The sequence below is a fragment of the Homo sapiens genome, chromosome 8 (assembly GCF_000001405.40).
Source record: "Homo sapiens chromosome 8, GRCh38.p14 Primary Assembly".
Classification (NCBI taxonomy): domain Eukaryota; kingdom Metazoa; phylum Chordata; class Mammalia; order Primates; family Hominidae; genus Homo; species Homo sapiens.
Window position 1 is genome coordinate 87,243,033 of NC_000008.11, and position 24,058 is coordinate 87,267,090.

At 35.9% G+C, this 24,058-nt stretch overlaps 1 protein-coding gene across 4 annotated transcripts in view; it reads left to right on the plus strand.

Moving 5' to 3' along the window:
• The window catches only part of CNBD1 (cyclic nucleotide binding domain containing 1), a 562,238-nt gene that overhangs the window by 376,618 nt on the left and 161,562 nt on the right, over nt 1-24,058 (plus strand). Inside the window, exon 7 of one of the 4 annotated variants that reach the window (XM_024447082.2) lies at nt 12,124-12,305. The exons of the other annotated variants lie outside the window; for them this stretch is intronic. Within the exon in view, the coding sequence (XP_024302850.1) occupies nt 12,124-12,285 (162 nt within the window). The 3' untranslated portion in view covers nt 12,286-12,305. Of the gene's footprint in view, nt 1-12,123; nt 12,306-24,058 lie in introns of those variants that run through there. 4 annotated transcript variants of the gene reach the window in all.

The following is a 24,058-nucleotide window of genomic DNA, read 5'->3' on the forward strand; positions in this document are numbered from 1 at the left end:
TTAATCACTAAACCATCAAATCCTAACTTTTCCATTTCCCAAATACAAAATATTTCTAACCTGTGTTATCAGCACAACCTGTATTATTCAAGCTGAGGATAATGAAGCCATGAGTATTTTATGCATACTGCCCAGTACATCTGAGGTTTTATCAGATATCTAGAGAAAATTCAGAAGGCATTGATAAATGGTGGATCCAACTAAAGAAAGAATATCTCATTTCGTAAAGCAGTTGAATAGCAATTTCATCTTCAGATCCTGGATAAAACTCAACCAATTTGTTTCAAACAAGAACATATTCCAATTAATTGTAAGTTCTGCATCAAGTGACTATTGGGATATCTTGGAAGAGTAAAGGCAAAGTCATGTTTGATAAGGACAAGGAATTTAAGCTATTTGATTTTGCTGCCTCCAGATTTCTGATAATGGGTGCTGCCTGACCTTCTGAGTACGCCATTCCCTGCGGTCAGTGCTCCATATTCTTTTACTTGTCTCTTCATTATCCAACATTCTTCACAGATTCATTCCTGGTATGGTCTTACCCTGGTTCCCTAAATCTTTTACCTCATTTATTCATGGGCATTTTTGAAAGTGGTGTTTTATAGAGCATATTTTTAATATGCAACACAACTACTATAAAAAACAAAATGAACGGCAACTAGAAAAATAAGTTTTCAATTTAAGAAACACATCTAAATTATTCGTGACACAAAACAGGAGTCACAATAAAAAATCAAAACTATTTCAATTAAACAAAAATACATAAATGTCACATATCAAAACAAAAATACCATGAATCAAAACTTGTAATATATATATGCAGTGAAAAAAGACACAGAATGTGATTTGCTGTTTAGTATTGATCTATGTGTGACTGGAGTATAAAGTTTATGTTTTGTTTTTTTAATTAAAAAAAATTTTGTATAAATTTATGGGGAATATGAGCCCTGAAAATTTGAGACAGGTCTCAGTTAATTTAGAAAGTTTATTTTGCCAAAGTTAAACATGCGCACCCATGAACAGCCTCAGGTGGTCCTGATGATATCTGCCCAGGGTGTTCAGGGCACACCTTGGTTTTACACATTTTAGGGAGAGATGAGACATCAATCAACATATGTAAGAAGTACATTGGTCCCATCCAGAAAGGCGGGGACAACCTGAAGTAGGGAGGGGGCTTCCAGGTCACTGGTAGGTGAGGGACAAATGGCTGCATTTCTTTCGAGTTTCTGATAAACCTTTCCAAAGGTGACAATCAGCTATGCATCTATCTCAATGAGCAGAAGGATAACTTTGAATAGAATAGGAGGCAGGTTGGCCCTGAGAAGTTGCCAGCTTGACTTTTTCCTTTAGCTTAGTAATTCTGGAGCTCCAAGACTTTCTTTTCACAGACCCATATGCAATTTTGTTATAAGTATATAATTGAGAGTGATCAAGTCAGGGCATTTAGGGTGTCTATCTCCTGAGTATAATACATTTTTGTTTAACAATATCGTCCTCCTTGCTTATCAAATGTTGAATTTATCCCTTTTAAGTAACTGTATTTTTATACCCTTTAACCCAGTTCTCTTCATCTGCCCCTCCTCCACTTACTCATAGACATTTAAATGGTTCTTTGCTACTTCTAGATGTCCCCTGACTCATATCCCAACCCCCAGTGTTAAGATGGCTTCCTTTAAGTCAGGGATCTTATTTTTCTCTAATGCGTAGTATAAGTATGCTAGGAGCTTTTAAGGTGTTCAATAAGAATAAATTAAATTAAATCCAGTTAAATTTAATTAGACAGAGACTTCAAAATGTCAAAGATGAACTGTGAAATGAGTTTTGATTCAACTAAATTGCAACTGATAGAGGATTTAATCTATATTGATTAAAGTTCAGTTTTATTACATTTATTTTATCTAAACTGATGTTTAAAATATATGTGATTGCTTTATTCTTAAAATAAAATGTAAACATTAGAATATTCAAATGTTCAAAACTAAAATGTCAATCAGGAAATATTTTTACTATAATAATGGAATTGGAACTTAACATCTAATTGTCTCTCCGATCATCGAAACATTTAATACAGATAGCTTGTAATATATTTATAACATGAAGCTATTTCTTAATCATCACAACATGTAGTTGCCTTTTGTTTTCATCAAGAGTTAAAATGTGTGCTGTAACTAAAAACAAACATTGGGTCATAGTAAATTTACTACTGTTTAAACATAAATTAGAGAAAAAGTAAAAATTATACTTTGTGTAAAATTTTTACAACTCTTGTATTATAAGAGCAATAAAAGAGATATGTTTATTGGTACATAGTAAGTCTGTTTACCAACGCTTTTTTAATAACATCATAAAATAAGAGGACTTCACATATAAACATTAACTCCGATATTTCATTTCAGAAACATACACTTAAATACAATTGAAGCTTTTGTTTCTTTACATCTTCCCATTTTTTTAATATAACTGTTTCTTATTTTACTACATTTATGAAGACATCAAAATATAATCAAGCTTGCTGTTGTTTATCTCATGATATTAAGTATTGTATTTGGAGATTAAATAATTTCAACTTTATGTAAGATTAAAAAAAAGTGTTATATTTGAAGGTAGGAAAATAAGTATAGTTTCTGGTTTATGGATGTTTGCATGCCTTCTGTGAAGCGCCTGATATTGTGTACTCGTTTTACTTTTGTTTTCTTTGTCTTTTTACCTATTAATTTATAAGACTTTTGATTATAGTAGTGATATAATTTTTTAATATACGTGTTGCAAATATGATTTTTAAATATATTGTTGATATTCTCACTTTATCATTCTTTTATTATTATGGATATATTGTTTTTTTCTTTATTGATGTTTGCTTTCCCATTATTAGCAGTATTTATGATAAGAAAACTAGTAATAATTGAGTACATACTATATGCCCATTTCATTTAAAGTACAGCAGGTTCTTGGACTAATATCTCATATCCATTGGTTTATTTTACTTTAGTGCCTATTTTATCTTCATAAAATTTTCCAGAACTACTGCCTTAAGCCGATTGTTTTCAGTTTTGGTGTTTTTTTGTAATTGCCTTGGGATTCTTTACTCCTTTAATTTTTAAATTTTTCTGACAAACACAAAATGATGAAAAGATGAGGCAAGCCTGGTCTATAATTTTTACTCTGGCAAACCTGTTCTGTAATTTTTCCATTACTTCTGGAAAAAGCTTATTTATATTCATTTCCCATGTCATAATTTCCATTATCTCTTTCTGTCATTAATTAGACTGGGAATGAGAAGCTTTTGGGTTTGCAAAACCCCAAATGGATGATGCCAATAACTATCAGAATTGTTGACAACAACATAAGCTTTGAGTATAGTCTGCAACTTTTAAATATAGATTTTATTTCTTCTCGAGACTGAAAACCATTTCATGAAAGTTGGTTAGAGAATTTGGTCTTAATCTCTGTATCAGTTAAGAGAGTTTTGGTTTTATGTTATCTAAATTACTGCTAATGACTTAAACAATAAGAATATTTTTTATCTCACAGAAAGTCTTTGAGATAGATGACTTTAGGGATTAATTTAGAACCACAACAAAATTACCTGGACACAGAGGCTCCCCTGTCTTTCCATCCTGTCCCTTTTAGAATGCTGAATTTCTTCCTCAGATTTGCACCTCAATTGTTAGCACTCTTCCAGGCATGGGAGAGCAGCACTCCCCAACCTTTTTGTCACCAGAGATCAGTGTTGTAGAAGACAATTTTTCCACGGACTAGGGGTGGGGGATGGTTTTGGGATGATTTAAGAGCATTACACTTATTGTGAACCTTATTTCTATTATTATTATATTGTAATATATAATGAAATAATTATACAACTCATCATAATGTAGAACCTATGGGAGCCCTGAGCTTGTTTTCCTGGAACTAGACGGTCCCATCTGGGGGCAACTGGAGACAGTGACACCCGAATTATGTTGCCTATGTCCAGTCTACTCCATAATCTCGTTTTGGTTACTGTCACTACAGAAAACTCTGCTTCACAAAGGTAGGATATTGGAAACAGGAGCAGGCTTTTCAGTGCTTTTGTGGCAATCTCAGGATAATCTCCACCTTGACTTTAATCCAGAACATATGGGGATTTGAAGTTGTCTCAAACATACTTTTAAGGCCACCATCATTTGTGATCTCAAGCAGTTGATTCGCTTCTAGCACGGACAAAGTCCATTCATCTGGCTTACTCTCAAATGAGTTGCAGATCCATTCCTTCCCAGTTAAGGGCTCTTTTCTGGTTTGGAAGTAATGCTCCAACTCTTTTGAAAGCTGAGAGAGGTGATCACGCACCAGCTCTGAGTAAGACGGCCCTGGCTGTGTCTCTTTCAAAATCTTTACTAATATTTGAAACATGTCAGAAATCCCAATGTTCACTCATTGCCCCATAATTCCAGTTTGGCTTTGAATGCAATTACTTTATCTGATGACTTGAACACAGTTGTCAGTCTCCCCTGGAGTGACAGATTAAATTCCTTGACCATGTTGAATGTGTCACACAAGTAAGCAAGTTTTGCGATCCATTCTGCGTCACTGAAATATGCTGCCAGGGGTGATTTTTTTTCTATAAGAAATCTCTGGAGTGGCTCTCATAACTCAAAAACTCTGGCCAGTGATCTACCTTTAGAAAGCCCTCTCATTTCTGTATGTAAGAGAAGACGTGTTTGCTCTGCATCCATTTCCTCATAGAGTTACGTGAACAGATGTGAGTTAAGGGCATTTAATGCGGTTGATACTTTTAATCACATCCTGCAAAATGTTTTTAAGTTCAGGTGACATTTTTCAGTTGTTAAGTTCAGGTGAAATGGCATTTTTCAGCTAGCCACAATTTCTGTATGGGTGACACGGTGCATGGACTCACATTCAGAAGTGACCTCATTGACCTGAGTGGTGAAACCAGAAAGCTGTCCAGTCATGGAAGCCACTTCATCCATGCATACTTACACAAAATGACCAATTTTCCTGATGTGTAATCATTCAAAGACTTTAATTGTTCTGCAGCTGTGGTGTTGTTGGTTGGCCAAAAAATTGCCCATAACATATTCTCATGCACATCCTCCTGAAAAATATATCACACAAAACCAAGAATTGTTGCCTTGTTGTCAACATTGGTAGACTCATCAATCTGGGTTGTGTACCATGGTGACTCATTAATCCTCTCTAGCAATTGTGCCTCAATATCTTCTGCTATTTCATCAATTCATCTGGTTATAGTGCTAGCTGAAAAAGGAACTTATGCCACCTTTTAAACTGCAGCCTCTCCTAAAAGTTCACAATGGATGTTTTTAGTAGCAGGTAGGATCAACCTTCACCAGTAGTAAAAGACTTCCTAGCTTTAGCAATGCAGTTAGCCACTAAGAATGATGCTGTCAGTGCAGACACATTTGATAAAGTGGTGGCCTTCAATAATTGCTTCTATTCTTTGTGTTCACATTTTTTTCTTTTGAAAAACTGCAGAGGCTTGTCTTTTAATACAGGGCGCTTGATCGCCATGTGGAGAAGCAGCTTTGAAGGTCTCATGGCTTCGTTGGATAGCCTGTTGCCACATATTATATAAAGCAGGATTGGAGAATGTGAATCACCTGTTGCAGTGAATCTGCAATTTAAGTAGGATTCTTGGTATTTTCTTTTAAATACAACTTTCTTTTGTTGGCAGTCACAGAGTCTTTTGATGTCCCCTCATTGGGTCTTTCCCCCTTTTCAAAGAAATCTTCCAGTGACATTTGGTTTTTACTCATTTTGGCTATGGTTAGCTTGTGGGCTTACCAAAACTGTGACTGAGACAAGTACACAGTGCAGGAAAGAGGCGTGAACAGAAGTGGTAAATAAAATAATGAGAGGGCCACGTATGGACTAAACTAAGTGTCAGATTCTGACTTAAAGCCTGCCACCAGATGCAACTATACAATTGAAGTATATCAACTCACTACTATAACTCCTGCCACCAGATGCAGCTTGTCACTTGCCACTCACTGATAGGGTTTTGTTATGAGTCTGCAAGCAATTGATTTATTATGGTCTCTGTGCAGTCAAACCTCTCTGCTAATGTGAATCTGTATTTGCAGCTGCTCCCCAGTACTAGCATCACTGCCTCAGCTCCACGTCAGATCATCAGGCATTAGATTCTCATAAGGAGCACACAACCTAGATCCCTCCCATGCACAGTTCACAATAGGGTTCATGCTCCTATAAGAATCTAGTGACACTACTGATCTGACAGGAGGCAGACCTCAGGAGGTAATACAAGTTATGGGGAATGGCTGTAAACATAGATGAAGCTTTTCCTGCTTGCCCATTGCTTGTGCTGTGTGGCCTGATTCTTAACAGGCCACAGAGCAGTATAAATCTGTGGCCCAGGAGTCAGGGACCCTTAGGGTAGAGGATGCTTCTTCATCATGTTTTTACCCCTTTATCTGTGGAGAAAACATTTCCACAAAATGCACAGAAGGCACAGACTCCCATTTCCATCCCATTGGCTAGACTAGGTTATAGGTCTATCTTTCAACCGCAAATTGATAAAAGTGAATATAATCACCATTATTAGTTTAAAGCAATCAATTAAGATTCAGTCCCAAGAACTAGGTTCATGATCTATGTGCACTTTGCAGCCTAATTCCTAACCAAATCAGGCTTCTGTTAGCAAGCAAAACAGGAGTGAAGTGCTATTGAGCAGATGAATATGTTTCTGATGCAAAATTCTCAGGAGTTAGTTTGACAGTATGCAAGATAACTTAATCATCCAGTAGATTAGAAAGGCTCATTATAAAAACAGGACCCTTGAACTTAAATATAAAACTTCAAACTGTTAGAAGAAATCATTGGAGAAACTCTTTGGGACATTGGCCTGAACAAAGATTTCTTGAGTAATACCCCAAAAGCACAGGCAACCAAAGCATAAATAGAGAAATGGGATCACATCAAGCTAAAAAGTTTCTGCCCAGCAAATGAAACATCAACAAAGTGGAGAGACAACCCACCAAATGGGAGAAAATATTTGCAAACCACCCATTTTAAAAGGGATTAATAACCAGAATTTATAAGGAGCTCAAACAACTCAATAGCAAAAAATGAAATAATCCAATTACAAAATGGACAAAGGATCTGAATAGCCATTTCTCGAAACAAGGCATACTAATGGCCAACAGATATATGAAAGAATGCTCAACATAATTAATCATCAAAGAAATGCAAATCAAAACTCCAACGATATGTTATCTCACTCCAATTAAAATGGCTGTTATCCAAGACAGGTAATCACAAATGTTGGCCAGGATATGGAAAAAGGGGAACTCTTGTACACTGTTGGTTGGAATGCAAATTAGTATAGGCACTATGGAGAACAGTATGGGAGTTCCTCAAAAATATAAAAACAGAACTACCATGTGATCCAGAAATCTCACTACAGAGTATATATCCAAAAGGAATGAAATCAGTATATCAAAGATACATCCGCACTCCCATGTTTATTGCAGCACTATTCACAATAGCCAAGATATGGGAGCAACATGAGTGTCCATCAACCATTGAATGAATAAAGAAATGTGGTATATGTACATAATGGGATATTATTTAGCCATAAAAAGAATGAAATCCTATCATTTACAACAACATAGATTGAACTGGAGGACATTATATCAAGTGAAATAAGCCAGGCACAGAAAGAGAAATATTGCGTGTTAGCACTCAAATGTGGGAGCTTAAGAAAAAAAACTGAACTCATGGAGATAGTGAGTGGAATGATGTTTGTCAGAGGCAGAGAAAGATAGCAGGGATTGGGGGATAAAGTGAGATGGCTAATGGGTACAAAACTACAATGGGATAGAGGAAGTAAGATGTTGTATTTGGTGGCACAATAGGGTGACTATAATCAATAATAGTTTATTGCATATTTTCAAATAACCAAAAGAATGGAATTGCAATGTTCCTAACACAAAGAAACAATAAAAGCTTGAGGTGATAGATACCCCAATTACCCTTATTTGATCTCTGTACATTGTATTCCTATATCAAAACATCACATGTACCCCATAAATATATATTACTGTTATGTACCCTTAATAATTAAAAAATTAAAATTAAATAAAAATTATAAATTATAAATACAGGACCCTTGAGATCATTAGTAAAATTTCAGAGCCCTAGTTTTTGTGATGTTTTAGGGCCCTAGTTCTTCCTAACGTTCTGAATGTTGGACATGACTGTTAGTAATACAACAGTCTTTCTTAGAAATTGGATTGAGGCCTGGGTGCATTGGCTTATGCCTGTAATCCCAGCACTTTGGGAGGCCAAGGCAGGTGGATTGCCTCAGGTCAGGAGCTTGAGACCAGTCTGGCCAATATAGTGAAACCCCATCTCTACTAAAAATACAAAAAATTAGCTGGGCATGGTGGCCGGCACCTGTAATCCCAGCTACTTGACAGGTTGAGGCAGGAGAATCACTTGAACCCGGGAGGCAGAGGTTGCAGTGAGCCAAGATTGCGCCATTGCACTCCAGCCTGTACAACAAGAGCGAAACTCTGTCTCAAAAAAGAAAAAAAAAAAAAAAGAACAAAAATTGGATTGACTACTTTTGTCTAGGTACCATTTAGGATTTATTCCTTCCAAATGCTATGGTACCATTCAGAGTCACATGACCATAAATATATTTCATCACGCTATTTTTCTAATTGTATTCTTTAGTCATTTTAGGGCCACAATGGGCAATAGGAAGTTTAGGTAAAACATTTCATTCTTCTTACACTGGCTGGGTCTCAGACACTCATCTCTTATATGAATAATTCTTCTGTATTTATCTTTTTAAAAAAATACATGTATACTTCTAAGCAAACTTTCTTTGAAGAAAGTATTTTTTTTTTCTGAGATGATGCTTATAGGTAGATTTGAAACCCATCATTGTGGAATCCATCTTGATTACTATATCTGATGGGCAGACTCATCTATTCCCACATAAATTGATAAGAATTTGAGTGTTTTTGAAGAAACAACAAACATATAAAAACATTTAAATTAGACTTAGTCCCTGGTGACCCTTCTGACATTCATTTCTATTTTTCCATTCTGTTATAATCAGAATTATATTCATTATTATGATAAATATGGTTCAACAGTGGTCCAAGATATACTAAATCTTACATCAGAAAAAGGAAAAGGCTTTTCCATTTTTAGGTTTACTTAAATGAGAAGCAAAGTGCACTTTCCCTTCATATCTAAGTATATAAAATTTGTTGACAATTGAATATCAAACAATGATAATTGACTCTCAATATTTTCCTATTGCAGTGAGAGTTTTAATATTATTCAAAATCAATTACGTTTTTATTCCAATAATTATTTTTACATGAAGAAAGACAATTTCATATCTACACTCTGTAAACTTCTTTATAATCAGAGGAGCAATTAGTTATTTTACTTAGAGAATAAATTAATTAAAACACATAATTTATTTTTCCACTGGTATTTTAGTATGGTTAACTTAACCTTAAGGAAGCACTTGAGCTGTAAACTGACGGCTCTGCTGAGAACTGGGAAAGCAAAAATGAATGCAACCTTGATCCTGTTTTCAAATTTAAAATCTAGTATATATTGTTAGTAAAGTTCTGATAGATGTCATGGGGAATCCAAAACTCAGAGGGATTTTTTCTTGCCTCTAAAGAGTTTACAGTCTGGTTGGGGGCTTAAAACATGAAAACATACACAGTAAGTGGCAAGATGAGTTAGTCTCAATTAAAGTGCTAAATTACAGGGACAGATGCTACAGGATGTCAGGGGTGGGATGAGCTGCGTGGCCAAATATGCCTACTGAGAATGGGGAGCTTGTGATGCACTGTAAAGGAAAAGTAGGGCTTGACTAAGTAGAAAGGAGAGAGGGCACATACGTTTACTGCAAAGAATCACGTTTTAAACAATGATTTAGAAATGAGTAAATGCCTGGTATGTGAAAAGTTTGGGAAATTCAGTGGACAATGAATAATAGGCAGGTCTAGAGAGAAAGGAGAGAAGAGAAAGAAAGCAGAGGTCAGACTACGTCAGATTCCTAAGGGTAGTTTAAAAAATAAGCTAAAACAGCCAAGCCAGTGGAAAGTTTGAATATATTCTCTTTTTCCCTTTACTCACTTATCAGGGCCACTCCCCACCCTTCTCTCCCTTGCCCTTTACCCCAAGACTGGCCCGGAGGATTACGTCTAAGGGCTCTTCTGCCTTCTGGCTTGCAGTTAGAGTCAGCCCGGGGAGAGAGGGAGCAGGAGACCAGAAAGAAGTAACAGAGTGGAGATCATAGTGTTTCTTCCCTGGCATCCTCTGCAGAATTGCTGGCTGAATCTAAGTCTGAAGGTTGCAGCTCCTGTCAGATGGCCCTGTCCACACAGCCCTCTGGGTCGTGAGGTCTAGAAAGCACGTCCACCTTTCATTATTTAGGCCTGCAGGAGGTGCCTGTGCCCTGCCCTTAGCCCCAGGATATTCCATCTGATTTGCCTACAACCTTAATAGGTAGTTTCTTCATTCGTTCTCATAGTACCCAAGTGCCATGTGGTATCTCTTTTCTGGTAGGTTCCTGACTGGTAGAGAGGGAAATAATGAAGGAATTGTTTTAAGAAGGTTAATATTGTGGCCGAAATAGATAGATTGACAAACTAGAACTAGGGAGAAAATTAACCAACAGAAATGAGCATTTAAGTGCCAAATCAAGGTAAAGAAAGTACAGTTGCCATTGGGAGATTGATTAGTGACCAAAAGTGATGAACAACAAAAACAACAACAAAACATTAAACATAAACTAAATAGTCATGAGGATTTCAAGAATATAAGAATTGGACGGGAATTGGAATTTAGTTACATAAAAAATCAACACGTATAGGATGAAATTTGAGTCACTAGTAAAATTCTAGTATCATACACAAAGTAGAGGATAAAGATCTCTAAATTAGAGGAGAGAAAAAGAATTTTAGATTGCAAGTTTTAGATTACATTCCTATGTTCATGGAGTAATGTCTAGTAGAACTTTGAGATGTGACTGGCATTACAGAAATAGGTCAGAAATGGAGAACAGTTTAGGAATATTCCAAATAGTAGTGACACCATGTCATCAGAGTTGATGAGTTCTCAGGCAACGCAGCCACCTAAAGTGAAGAACAGAGACCTGAGGACGAAATCCTTGGAAAAGACTCCCACTAAGCAAGCCTGAGAATAAAAAGAAGGCAGTAAGAGGAACTGAGAAAAAAATTCCAGAGAGATAGTTGGAAAAGGACTCATAGGGTAACAATTAATAAAGAGGCTATTTCAGTGCTGTGTAGCTTATCATGTGGTTCAATCAAAGCATTTCTGTTTAATAGTCAATAATTTGTGATATAATTTTTGTCATGATAAGTATTATAACATGATTAAAATAGGAAAAGGAATATTATTTCTTTGGATGGCCCAACACATCCAAGTGGTATCAACTGCTCTTCCCTCTCTGGGTTTTGGTTTCAATGTAGAGGATTCTCATCAACTGAATATTCTTCTCAGTATAGATATGCATGTAGAGGGATGGTGCTAATGACTTCACTGTAACAAAGATATGGATAATTTGGAACCCTCATTCATTATTGTTTTGCAAGTTCTTCTGGAGGAAATAAGTCAGGTGGGGATTTTCACGTATCACCTGTTCAAGCAATATGTGAAGTGCAATAGCACCCAGATCCCTCCCATCCTTAACAGACACTGGACCTTTTAAAACTATTTTTCAGCACTCCTTTTATTTAGCGTTAGGTCAGTTCCTTGCTTTTACTCTGTTTTGAGGCTACTGTAATAGAAAATGGGGCAAGAAGAATGTCATTGAAATATTTAGCTTGCTAAATTAAAAAGAAAGTAAAAGCAAAATACTTTTTTTTCCTGGTTATATTTCAGTGACTAGTTTTAATTAAAAACTCTATTCACTGATTTTTTTTAAAAAAGATTTTTACTACCTGATCTTTATGCATTCAGTATGGCCTATGTGCGAAAGAAGGGGTTTGATTATAGAACATAATGATGTAATGATATTCTGTAGAGGACAAGTCTGTCTACATGCAAAATTACTTAATGCAAGGTTACTTAAGACCCTTTGCATTTCAGTTGGATTATGTCATCTACCTTATGGATTTGCAAAAAAAAGTCGACAGAGACAACTTGTGGAAACTTGTGGAATCAAGGGACAATTGGTGTTCAGGGAAGGGAGTGGCATGGAAGATTGAGAAAGAACCACAGGAAACAAGATGTAGAGGGTCCAGTAAATAAACTCTCTGCATGTAAAAAAATGTACTGAGTAGTTATAATTTATACTTACTGTTAATAGCCTGATAAAATGATACCTGTGCAAGAAAGTAGAGCTAAGGTGTAAAAAGAGAAGAAATGATTATAGTTTTTTGAGAAAAGAGATCAGAGAAATAACAATATAACAATTTAACATATACCTGCCATTTAATATATAGATTTGATAATCTTAAATATTTGAAAAATCTATATAAATATAATCAGGTTTTTAAAAAAATACTAAAAATAAATATCTGTTGTTATAATTTTTTAGCATTTAATACAAATCTTTTCCTCAGTCATTCTGTATGTGACTCTAAGCTCACACAGTTAACAAAGGACAGGAATTGAGTCAGCTGACACATTAGAGCCAAACTGCCTAACTTCCAACATTGACCCTACCAGTTACCATCTGTGTGGCCTTAAGAATGTGCCTTAGCCTTCTGGGTCTCATTTTTCTTATTTTTTAAAATGACTATTTTAACAAACTACTTCATAGGGTAATTATGAGAATTCAGTGAGTCTTGAGCATGGTGCTTAATAGGAAGCATATTATGCCTTAAATAAAATAAGACAAAAAAGACTGATGTTGCAAGATTCATATATATATATAAAATACTCATATGATTTGCAGCTACAAATATATATATATATATATATATATATATATATATATATATATATTTTTTTTTTTTTTTTTTTTTTTTTGAGACAGGGTCTCACTCTGTCACCCAGGCTGGAGTGCAATGGTATGATCTCAGCTCACTGCAACCTCTACCTCCTGGGTTCAAGCGATTCTCCTGCCTCAGCCTCCCCAGTGGCTGGGATTACAGGCACACACCATCATGCCCAGCTAATTTTTGTATTTTTAGTAGAGATGGTGTTTCCTCATGTTGGCCAGGGTGGTCTTGAGCTCCTGGCCTCAGTGATCCACCCATCTCAGCCTCCCAGAGTGCTGGTATTACAGGTATGAGCCACTGTGCCTGGCCCAAAAATATACTTTTAAATTAAGAGAACTGTACTCATATCAAGGGGAAAAAATAATTATTTGAAGTTACATTATTTTTTAGAATGTATGTAAGTATTGAATCCAGGTGTCCTGGTTGGCTCTCCTATTGCCTAGCTATGGGAACCTGAGCAGTGAAGAGCTTCACTCGTCCCAGGTTGCTGTGAAGACTGATACAGATGAAGTGCCTGGCAGCAGAAGGTGTTCCACAATTGCCAGTAGTTTATTTCTTCTTCAACAAATCCATCCCTCTCTACCCTCTTGGGCCATGAATTCTGAGTATCAAAATTCTCTCTCCCCATATCTAAAGATCAGTGATTTGGGGGAAATTTGTTTTTAATTTGATTCTATACAGCACTTTTTTTCTTTGGGAAATGCTGTTCACATCAAGGATGTCATCTTTTCTTGGGAGAAACCATCCTGGTTAGTTTTCCCTTAAGGTTTACAATGGATATACAGTTCCAAGAGTATAAAGAGATCTTTGTCAGTTGTGAGATTATGAATCCAAGGTTCAAGGTTCTGAAGTTTTGCTGTAGTGTGAATGGCAAGGACAGTCTTTCTATGATGTTCTCATAAGATCCAATCTTCGGGTTCTAGATTGTGAAGGGGTTGTCCTCAGTGAACCACAAAAAGCTTTCTTTACCTGGTGAAAATATACTGTAACATAATAATCTACTGTTATAACATCAACACTCTTGCATGGGAAAGCTTTTATACAATCAGAAAACATTCATTGAAAATGACAATTGGGCTGGGCATGGTGGCTCATGCCTGTAATCCCAGCGCTTTGGGAGACTGAGGTGGGTGGATCACCTGAGGTCAGGAGTTTGAGACCAGCCTGGCCAACATGGTGAAACCTGTCTCTACTAAAAATAAAAAAAATTAGCCAGTGTGGTAGCAGGCACCTGTAATACCAGCCACTGGGGAGGCTGAGACAGGAGAATCGCTTGAATCCAGGAGATGGAGGTTGCAGTCAGCTGAGATTGTGCCATTACACTCCAACCTGGGCAACAAGAGCAAAACTCTATCGCAAAAAAAAAAAAAAAAGGAAATGACAATTGAATGAAATTTCTTTATAAATGTTTATGTGGCCAATCAGGTAGCCAAATGTACCTGAAGCTTTGATTGTCTTCCTGGGAATATGGAACCACACATTGGTTTTAAACTATTTCTGCAATTTATAAGTCACCTCATCAATATATTCAAATTGGATCATTTTATATTTTCCATGATAAGTCATGGAATGCAGAACCTTTAATAGCAGAAGCTTTAAGGACTCAGGAAGGACAAGGCAGCCATCCTGGTTCTCCGTGAGTCCATGCTTAACATTGGATTTATGTCCTCTTGAATACCAGTTGATTCTCCAATTTAGGTATATAGCACTGATAACTAAGGGGTTATCACAGGTAATTTGACTTAGACTGTGGAGTTCAAATTGTACACCTAAACAATTTCAGTATCAGCTGGTTTAACATGAATATCTGGAAAAGTATTTTCTTGGTATTTAATTAATTTTTGTTCTACTTGGGTTAGCATTTTTATACAAGGAAATTTGGTTACTTCTATGGTGTACAATAACATAATAACGTTAATTATGATTGACAGCATATACTCAGACATATTAGAATTTTAGAAATCCCATACAATTTTGAAACATATCTTAATATCATTCACTAAAATATAACCTGAAGATTAAACATTATTTTTATGTTGACAATGCTTCCCATGTAACTTAACTTGTTAAAGAATTCTGTTTACCTGTCTTTGGGATGCTTTAAGTGCCCTCTGTATCATCCCAAAGTTAGAGATCAGAAAAGACCATTTTGAAGCTTAAATTTGATTTTGGGAGGCCTATTAAATATGTTAAATGTTTAAAACACTTGATATTGTAAACTAGAATTCCAGGTTACCATAAGGCATTCATTTAGCCAAAATGATGACTCAAAAATTTTTTAAAAGGCAAAAACCTTTACTCATTGATAAAGGGAAGACTTAGATTTGCAAGCAGTCTGTCTTTTGTCTTTCCCTTCTTTATTTGTGTGTGTAGTGTATTTAAAAGGCAAACAAAAATTTTTCTTTTTTTTATTTCTTTTTTTTCTTTTTAAGATGGAGTCTCACTGTCTGGCACAGGCTGGGGTGCAGTGGTATGATCTCGACTCACTGCAACCACTGCAACTCCTAATCTCAAGTGATCTGCCCTCCTCAGCCTCCCAAAGTGCTTTACAGGCATGAACCACCATGCCAGGCCAAAATTTTTCATTATCTTTTAATATTACATGAAAATCTTGTTGAAGAGAGAAAGCCAAATTTCACCCTTGCACTAGTGGACTATTAATGTCAACCCCAATTTTCAGTAAACCTTGTATACAAATCTATCCAATCCTAATCAATTTGACCATAAGGTGAGATTTTTATAAACCTTTTATAACCCTTTACAAATTTTTGTTAAAGAGAAAACTTGTGCTTTAAGAAAACCCTGTTGTGCTTTTATTTACATGTCCAATTTACTGAAAAACAAATAATATCCCTTTAGTGAATATTTTCACACAGAGTGTTTTCACAAGGTTAATTTTTATATACCTTCCACAACTTGTTTAAACCTTTAGTTTATTTAATTTAAAACAATCCTTTAACCTAAACTAAGCAAACATTTACATTCTCATACCTTCTAATAATCTCTTACCAAAACACATTTCATTCTCCTTACACACCTTGTATGTAAACCTATTTTTTCAGTAGTCTCAATTACATGTTATAGTGGTAATTTTTAACAATTTTCACTTTTGGTGCATAAATTTTCTTTTATAAATCCTTTCACAACTTATACAGGCTATCTACGACATCCTTGGACTTTCTGACTTGTCCTAAACATCCCTCTTTTTAAACAACCCGTCACTTTAGGACAAGAATTTACCATGAATTATATGAATTATCTTTTCTTTATAACTTTCTTTGCATAGCAAGGAAGCATGGCTAATTCCACATATCCCTAGGCCTTATTTAGAATTTAATGTCTCCAAAATAAATTGAACAATTTTCAAAAGTTAAAGCAGTTTATGACCTTAAAGCATTTAGCAAACCTAATATCTGACCTGCATAAGTTAGACCAAATGTTTTTATTTTACTAATAATCTTTAAAGCTGTTCTTATTTCCCAAAGGTTACTAAAGTTACAACTAAAAGACATTACTGTTTTTATTTCACTTTCAAAATATTTGATTTAAGTGCTTATTTTTGTTTAAGCCAATTAATTAGCACTTTTTTATATAAACATTACATACACAACACATATGTAACTACACAGACAGACAGAACGAGATTACTACAATAGTTGTAAGATTTTTCATTTGCCTGTTTTTAAGTTTCTTAATTGGTTATTGGCTTTGGGGTGGGGTCCTTGGAAGAACAGAGCCAGGAAAGGCTCTCTGGTGCCTCCTGTTTTTCCTAAGGAGTCCAGACTGTGAGAGTTTGAATAACCGCTTTTAATTAAGCTGAGTTTTAACCACAGGACTCTTTAATAAAGTCCTTTTAAAATTTAGTATTACCTGACTTTAGATAGGCCAAATGGCTGATATTTCTCACTTTTGAACTTTACGAAAGGTAACCTTCCAGGTGCTCGGAGAAAGGAAAATTTAAGACAGTCCGTGGACAAGAAGAGAATCGACAAGGATACACAGACATTAAACCAGAAAAGACTCATTTTTTAAGCTGAGAATCAAACCTCGACTGCCACTGTGAAAGGGAAAAAATCTTAGCTACTGAGCTACAGCACAGGCTGGTCTAAATTGCCATTGCCAGTTGGAGTCTGTAGTAGTTAATTTTGAGATTGCAAAGGCTTTTAACTACTCCAGATAATTTTTAGAGCTAATTACGACCTGAACCCTAAAATTCCTGTACCCTGGAAGGCAGAGACCAAGAGAAAGTACCCCCATGTGGTTACAAGGTTAAGCTCTCAAAGACATAAAACAAGATGGAGACCTCATCAGTTTTTTTGTTTATTTCAGGGACCTGCAGCAAAGTTTGTTAGTGACCATCTTGCTGGGTCATCTTGAGCAGTGAGCTTATGGGGGCCTAAGCCCGTATTTTTTCCTAAGGTACTCCTGGACACAGAAAAACAAATTCATAGCACAAAATGCACCAGATTTATTACAGCTTAAGACTAGCCTCAGAATTCTTTTTTGCATTAATCAAAACTTTACAGGGGAGATAAAGTGATTTTTACCATTCATTCCACTGTTTTTGCACAGGGAGAGAAAAGCCAGAAATCTGACTGGTAAGAAACTCTTACCCTTTTGCCAGGATGCCAGGTTTCTGGGTTTTCTTTCCTTGAGCGGCCCTAGTGACCCAGCTCACCATACCATAGCCATGGAGGCCAACCCACAACACAGAAGAAAATCTTTTTCTTTTTTTTTCACTGTGTTGTTGTTCATTTGGAATGTTCTACTATAAGTTATCTTTAGTAAGATTTTGTCATTTCTGTAAGACTTTACTGCCTCCTAGGCCTAATGTATAAGCCAGAAGGAACTCAGTTTTCCAAAAATTGAGGATCCCATTTTTTATCTAAAATATTGGCTTTACTCTCAGGTTCTCTTCATTAACTTAGTCAATGATTTTTCCTACCTAAGCATGCAAGAAAAATGACACAAAGGGATAGAACACAAAAATCCCTGTGAATTTTTTAAAGCCAAATTTTATAACCCCTGCAATACTACTGCTTCCTACCAGTCCCTTTCTGACCCAGTCAGAGGTAAGAGACCTCTAACTAAATTCAAGACAGTTAATTCCCAAATACAATTTGTTCCCGGACCCAGTCCAGTTTCTATCATGACTTGCAAACCCAGTTTGGATGAGAAATGTGCTCAAAGAAACTCAGAGAGCTCAAAACACAAATCTGTGGAGCTCCAAAATCTGAAAGGGAGCTTACCCACGATCCCCAGCTGCTCTGAGAGATCAATGGACACAAATGGGTCCTGCAGGTACCTTGCGGGTTCAGTGCTCCTGGGGGTTGCTAGAAGCTTTACTTTGGATCCCACTTCTGACACCATCTGTTAGAAGAAAAACTTCAGCTGAATTAAATTTAATGGAGTTTAATTGAGCAATGAACCATTCATGAATCAAGCAGCCCCAGAATCACAGTGGATTCACAGAGACTCCAGCCCAGCCACATGGTGGAAGAAGTTTTATTTATAGACAAAAAAAAAAAAAAAAAAGAGAAATGACATACATAAATCGGCAGTGAGGTACAGAAACAACTGGATTGGTTACGGGTTGGCATTTGCCTTATTTGAACAGAATTTGAACACTTAGCAGTCAATGGGTGGTTAAATTATGGCCATTGGGATTGGCCAAGACTCCGTTATTGTTACAGGTGCCTACTTCTAAGTTAGGTTTTCAGTCTTGTCTGACTATTAAGCTAGGTTACAATTCATCCACAGGGACTCAAATATAGTAGTACAGAGTCCTTCTCAGGTCATATTTAGTTTGCTTTAACCGTTTCTAGTAAGTTCCTTATTAAAATGCAACATAGGCCAGGTGCAGTGGCTCACACCTATAATCCCGGCACTTCGGGAGGCTGAGGCAGGGAGATTGCTTGAGCTCAGGAGTTCAAGACTAGTCTGGCCAACATGGCAAAACTCTGTCTTTACAAAAAAAAAAAAAATACAAAAATTAGCCTGACGTGGTGGTGCATGCCTGTAGTCCCAGCTACTTTGAGGGCTGAGGAAGGAGGATCACTTGAACCCAGGAAGTTGGGGCTGCAGTGAGCCTGGATCATGCCACTGCATTCCAGCCTGGGTGACAGACTGAGACCCTGTCTAAAACACACAAACAAAACAAAACAAAAAACACAATATAAATAATTGTTGAACATTATGTTTTTATTAGATGTCGAAATATAAAAACTAGAAGCAGAATGTTAAAAACATAAGATTAAGTTTCAGGATAAGCTTTCCTCCTTTGATAGAATTACTTTCTAATTACAGGTTTCTTTTTCTTTTCTGATGTGATGTTTAATTTTATGTGTCAACTTGACTGAACTAAGAGATGCAGAGTTAGCTGGTGAATTGTTTTTTCTAGGTGTGTCTGTAAGGGTTATTTCAGAAGAGATTAGCATTTAAATAAATAGACTGAGTAAAGAAGATCACCTTCACCAATGTGGGCAGCCAACATCCAATCTACTGATAATCTGAATAAAACAAAAAGGCAGAGAAAAGGTAAATTTGCTCTCTCTGTTTGAGCTAAGACATATATCTCCTGCCCTTCAGACATCAGTGCTCCTGGTTCTGTTTTTCTGGAGAACCTTGACTAATATGCCTGCTTTGAAGAATTCCTAGTCTAAGGCAGGAATTATAAACTTTTAGCTTGGTTCTGCTACTTGAGATAAATTATTATGAAAATTTACCGCTTAGGCATCCAAAAAATATAAACACTTTAAAAGATCCTTATCTGTTCTGTTAAGTGATTGTATTCTGGTATCTTCCTTATGATCAATTCACTTTTATAGACAGTTTTAACATCTACTATGTGTTCATTTGGCAATTAATACAAAATAGTTTCTGTATTGGAGATAATGATGATGGAGTGGGAATGGGTAGAAATGCATCTGATAGCTTCAGTTTAATGCTATGAATAGAGTGACTAAAGTAAGCAAAGTTCATTGTGGGCGCAAGAAGTTGGAGCAGCAGACCCAGATTAGAGAGCTGAGGAGAGACTTCCTAGGGTTAGTGGAGCTCCTTTTATATGTGTTCCTTGTAAGATGTCACCTGGAAAGAATGATCAAAATTGTGATGGTATTATATATAGTGGTTTCAACCTTGATGATCATTCTTCCAATTAAAAATAATGTTTATATTTACTTTAGTGTCCTTGTCAACTATGATGACTACAATTTATTTCTCCTTATAAGCTTGTCATTTGTGTGAAAACCATGCATATTTGTATATAATAATACTAGCAGTTGAAACTTTTTTCTATTTTTAAGCTTTTTTTCAGATAATTTTTAAATGAATTGTTTTTGCCCACCTTTAGAACTTGGTATGCATAATTTGAATTGGGCAACATGTATAGCTAGTTGAATACATTATTCAAAATCAGGACATGCTGGCTGGCTTTGGTTCCTTAAAGAGGTGACTAAGATGTTACTCAGCCAACATGTAAATAAATACACACAGTCACAAACAAAATTGTTTTCAGTAAAATTAGGTAAGTAATTGTTTTTTTCAAAGCGTTTACATTATATTCACATAGAATAGTATGACATCCAACGAACACAGTTCTGTTATTCTTCTATTATTAGTAGAAAATAAACCAAAAATTATTTAGAGCAGGACCATGAAATTTTACCAAGGCAAACAAAATTCCTAACCTTTGGTACTTTACTCCTAAAAGAGCTTAATGGATAACATATTTTACTTATACTCAACATATAAATATAACAAGCCTGGAAATGGAATTTCCAAGGCCAAAGAAAATTAAATGTAAAACATTAGCAGGCAACAGAGAAGATATACTAAGAGGAAATTAATCAATTTTTAAAAATCTAATACTATAATTTTTAAGGTACTTTACAGTTCACAAATATCAAATCTTATTATACTCTTTTATACCATATATTACATAAAATATCACTGTTACTTTATGTTGAGTATTAAAAAGTATTTTATTTTATTTTTTTATTATACTTTAAGTTTTAGGGTACATGTGCACAACGTGCAGGTTTGTTACATATGTATACATGTGCCATGTTGGTGTGCTGCACCCATTAACTCGTCATTTAACATTAGGTATATCTCTTAATGCTATCCCTCCCCTCTCCCCCCACCCCACAACAGGCCCCGGAGTGTGATGTTCCCCTTCCTGTGTCCATGTGTTCTCTTTGTTCAATTCCCACCTATGAGTGAGAACATGTGGTGTTTGGTTTTTTTGTCCTTGCGATAGTTTGCTGAGAACGATGGTTTCCAGCTTCATCCATGTCCCTACAAAGGACATGAACTCATCATTTTTTATGGCTGCATAGTATTCCATGGTGTATATGTGCCACATTTTCTTAATCCAGTCTATCATTGTTGGACATTTGGGTTTGTTCCAAGTCTTTGCTATTGTGAATAGTGCCACAATAAACATACATGTGCGTGTGTCTTTATAGTAGCATGATTTATAATCCTTTGGGTATATACCCAGTAATGGGATGGCTGGGTCAAATAGTATTTCTAGTTCTAGATGCCTGAGGAATCACCACACTGTCTTCCACAATGGTTGAACTAGTTTACAGTCCCACCAACAGTGTAAAAGCGTTCCTATTTCTCCACATCCTCTCCAGCACCTGTTGTTTCCTGACTTTTTAGTGATCGCCATTCTAACTGGTGTGAGATGATATCTCATTGTGGTTTTGATTTTCATTCCTCTGATGACTAGTGATGATGAGCATTTTTTTCCTGTGTCTGTCAGCTGCATAAATGTCTTCTTTTGAGAAGTGTCTGTTCATATCCTTCGCCCACTTGTTGATGGGGTTGTTTGTTTTTTTCTTGTAAATTTGTTTAAGTTCTTTGTAGATTTCGGATATTAGCCCTTTGTCAGATGAGTAGATTGCAAAAATTTTCTCCCATTTTGTAGGTTGCCTGTTCACTCTGATGGTAGTTTCTTTTGCTGTGCAGAAGCTCTTTAGCTTAATTAGATCCCCTTTGTCAATTTTGGCTTTTGTTGCCATTGCTTTTGGTATCTTAGTCATGAAGTCCTTGCCCATGCCTATGTCCTGAATGGTATTGCCTAGGTTTTCTTCTAGGGTTTTTATGGTTTTAGGTCTAACATGTGAGTCTTTAATCCGTCTTGAATTAATTTTTGTATAAGGTGTAAGGAAGGGATCCAGTTTCAGCTTTCTACATATGGCTAGCCAGTTTTCCCAGCACCATTTATTAAATAGGGAATCCTTTCCCCATTGCTTGTTTTTCTCAGGTTTGTCAAAGATCAGATAGTTGTAGATATGTGGCGTTATTTCTGAGGGCTCTGTTCTGTCCCACTGGTCTATATCTCTGTTTTGGTACCAGTACCATGCTGTTTTGGTTACTGTAGCCTTGTAGTGTAGTTTGAAGTCAGATAGCGTGATGCCTCCAGCTTTGTTCTTTTGGCTTAGGATTGACTTGGCAATATGGGCTGTTTTTTGCTTAAATGTTAAAAAGTATTTTTCACATAAGATAATGGGATAATAATTTTATAGTTTTTAAAAAATTAAAGTAAATAATAGGAATTATCTGGGGACTTGATCAAATGAATGAAACTCTAGATTTGAGGATGGCAGTTTCAATCTTTGAGCTAAATCTAGGCTGCAGTCTCTTTTTCTTAATAAAGTTTTTATGGAACACAGCCACATCCATTCACTATATATCATTTATGACTGCTTTCTGCTAAAACAGCAGAGTAGAATAATTGTGACAGAAACTATATGGTCTGCAAAACTGAAAATATGTACTATATTGTCTATTACAGAAGAAGTTTGCTAATCACCTCTCTAAATGGAAACTACTGAAGAAATGAGTAAAATATTAGAAAACATTCTTGTAAACACATTGTTGATTTGGCAATAAAACAAAAAATTCCCAGAAACTTAGGTAATAATCAGTTGGATAATATCATTAATTAAAAGATTCTATTTAAGTAGCTATACAAAAGATTGAGCACTTAAGAAAAATATAGTACACTGTAAGCCAGTACTTTTGGAAGAACATTATACATTTTCTTTGAAAGATATCACAGAAGGGTTCAATATAGCTAAATTACATTCATGAACAGAAACATTCAATATCTTAAAGATAAGTGTCCCCTAATGATTTATACATTTCATGCAATTCCATTGGAAAAAAAAATCCAAACAGGTTCCTTGTGGAACTTGAAAAGGTAATTTTAAAAACTATACCAAAGAGCAAAAGGCTAAGAATACACTAGATATCCCTAAAGAAGATACTTGGGAAAGAGGAGCTTTTCCTATTAGGTATAAAAACACAAAATAAAGCTATAATAATTAATACTGGGCACTAGCGACTGATAGGTAAGCACACTGATATGTAAGCAATTCCAAAAATGAGGTCCAAGTAAAAAAAAAAAAAAATCTTTTTTTTTTTTTTTTTTTTTTTTTTTTTTGAGACAGAGTTTTGCTCTTGCTGCCCAGGCTGCAGTGCAATGGCACTATGTCGGCTCACTGCAACCTCCGCCTCCCAGGTTCAATGGATTCTCCTGCTTCAGCCTCCCAAGTAGCTGGGATTACAGGCGTGTGCCACCACCCCGGCTAATTTTGTATTTTTAGTAGAGAAGGGGTTTCTCTCCATGTTGGTCAGGCTAGTCTTGAACTTCCGACCTCAGGTGATCTGCCTACCTCGGTCTCCCAAAGTGCTGGGATTACAGGCTTGAGCTACTGCACCCAGCCACAAAAGAACTCGATGTAGAACAGTGACATGAAGAGCAGTGAGTAATGTGGGTTCATTCATTTGGGTAAGGGCAGTTGGTTATACAGACAGAAAAGATAAAACTGCATGCCTACTTTACACCATTCATAAAACTTAATTTAGGCATCACATGCCTAATGATGAAAGGAAAGACTTCGAATATTTTAGGTGCTCTTTTCTTCATGGTATCATAACAGAAAACACCTTAAGTAACAGACTTACAGAAGGAAACTATATTGATACCTGTTTAAAATCAGCAGCCATTTGTTCATCCAGAGATATTCTAAGTAAATGAAAAGACAAGGCACACACTGAGTGAA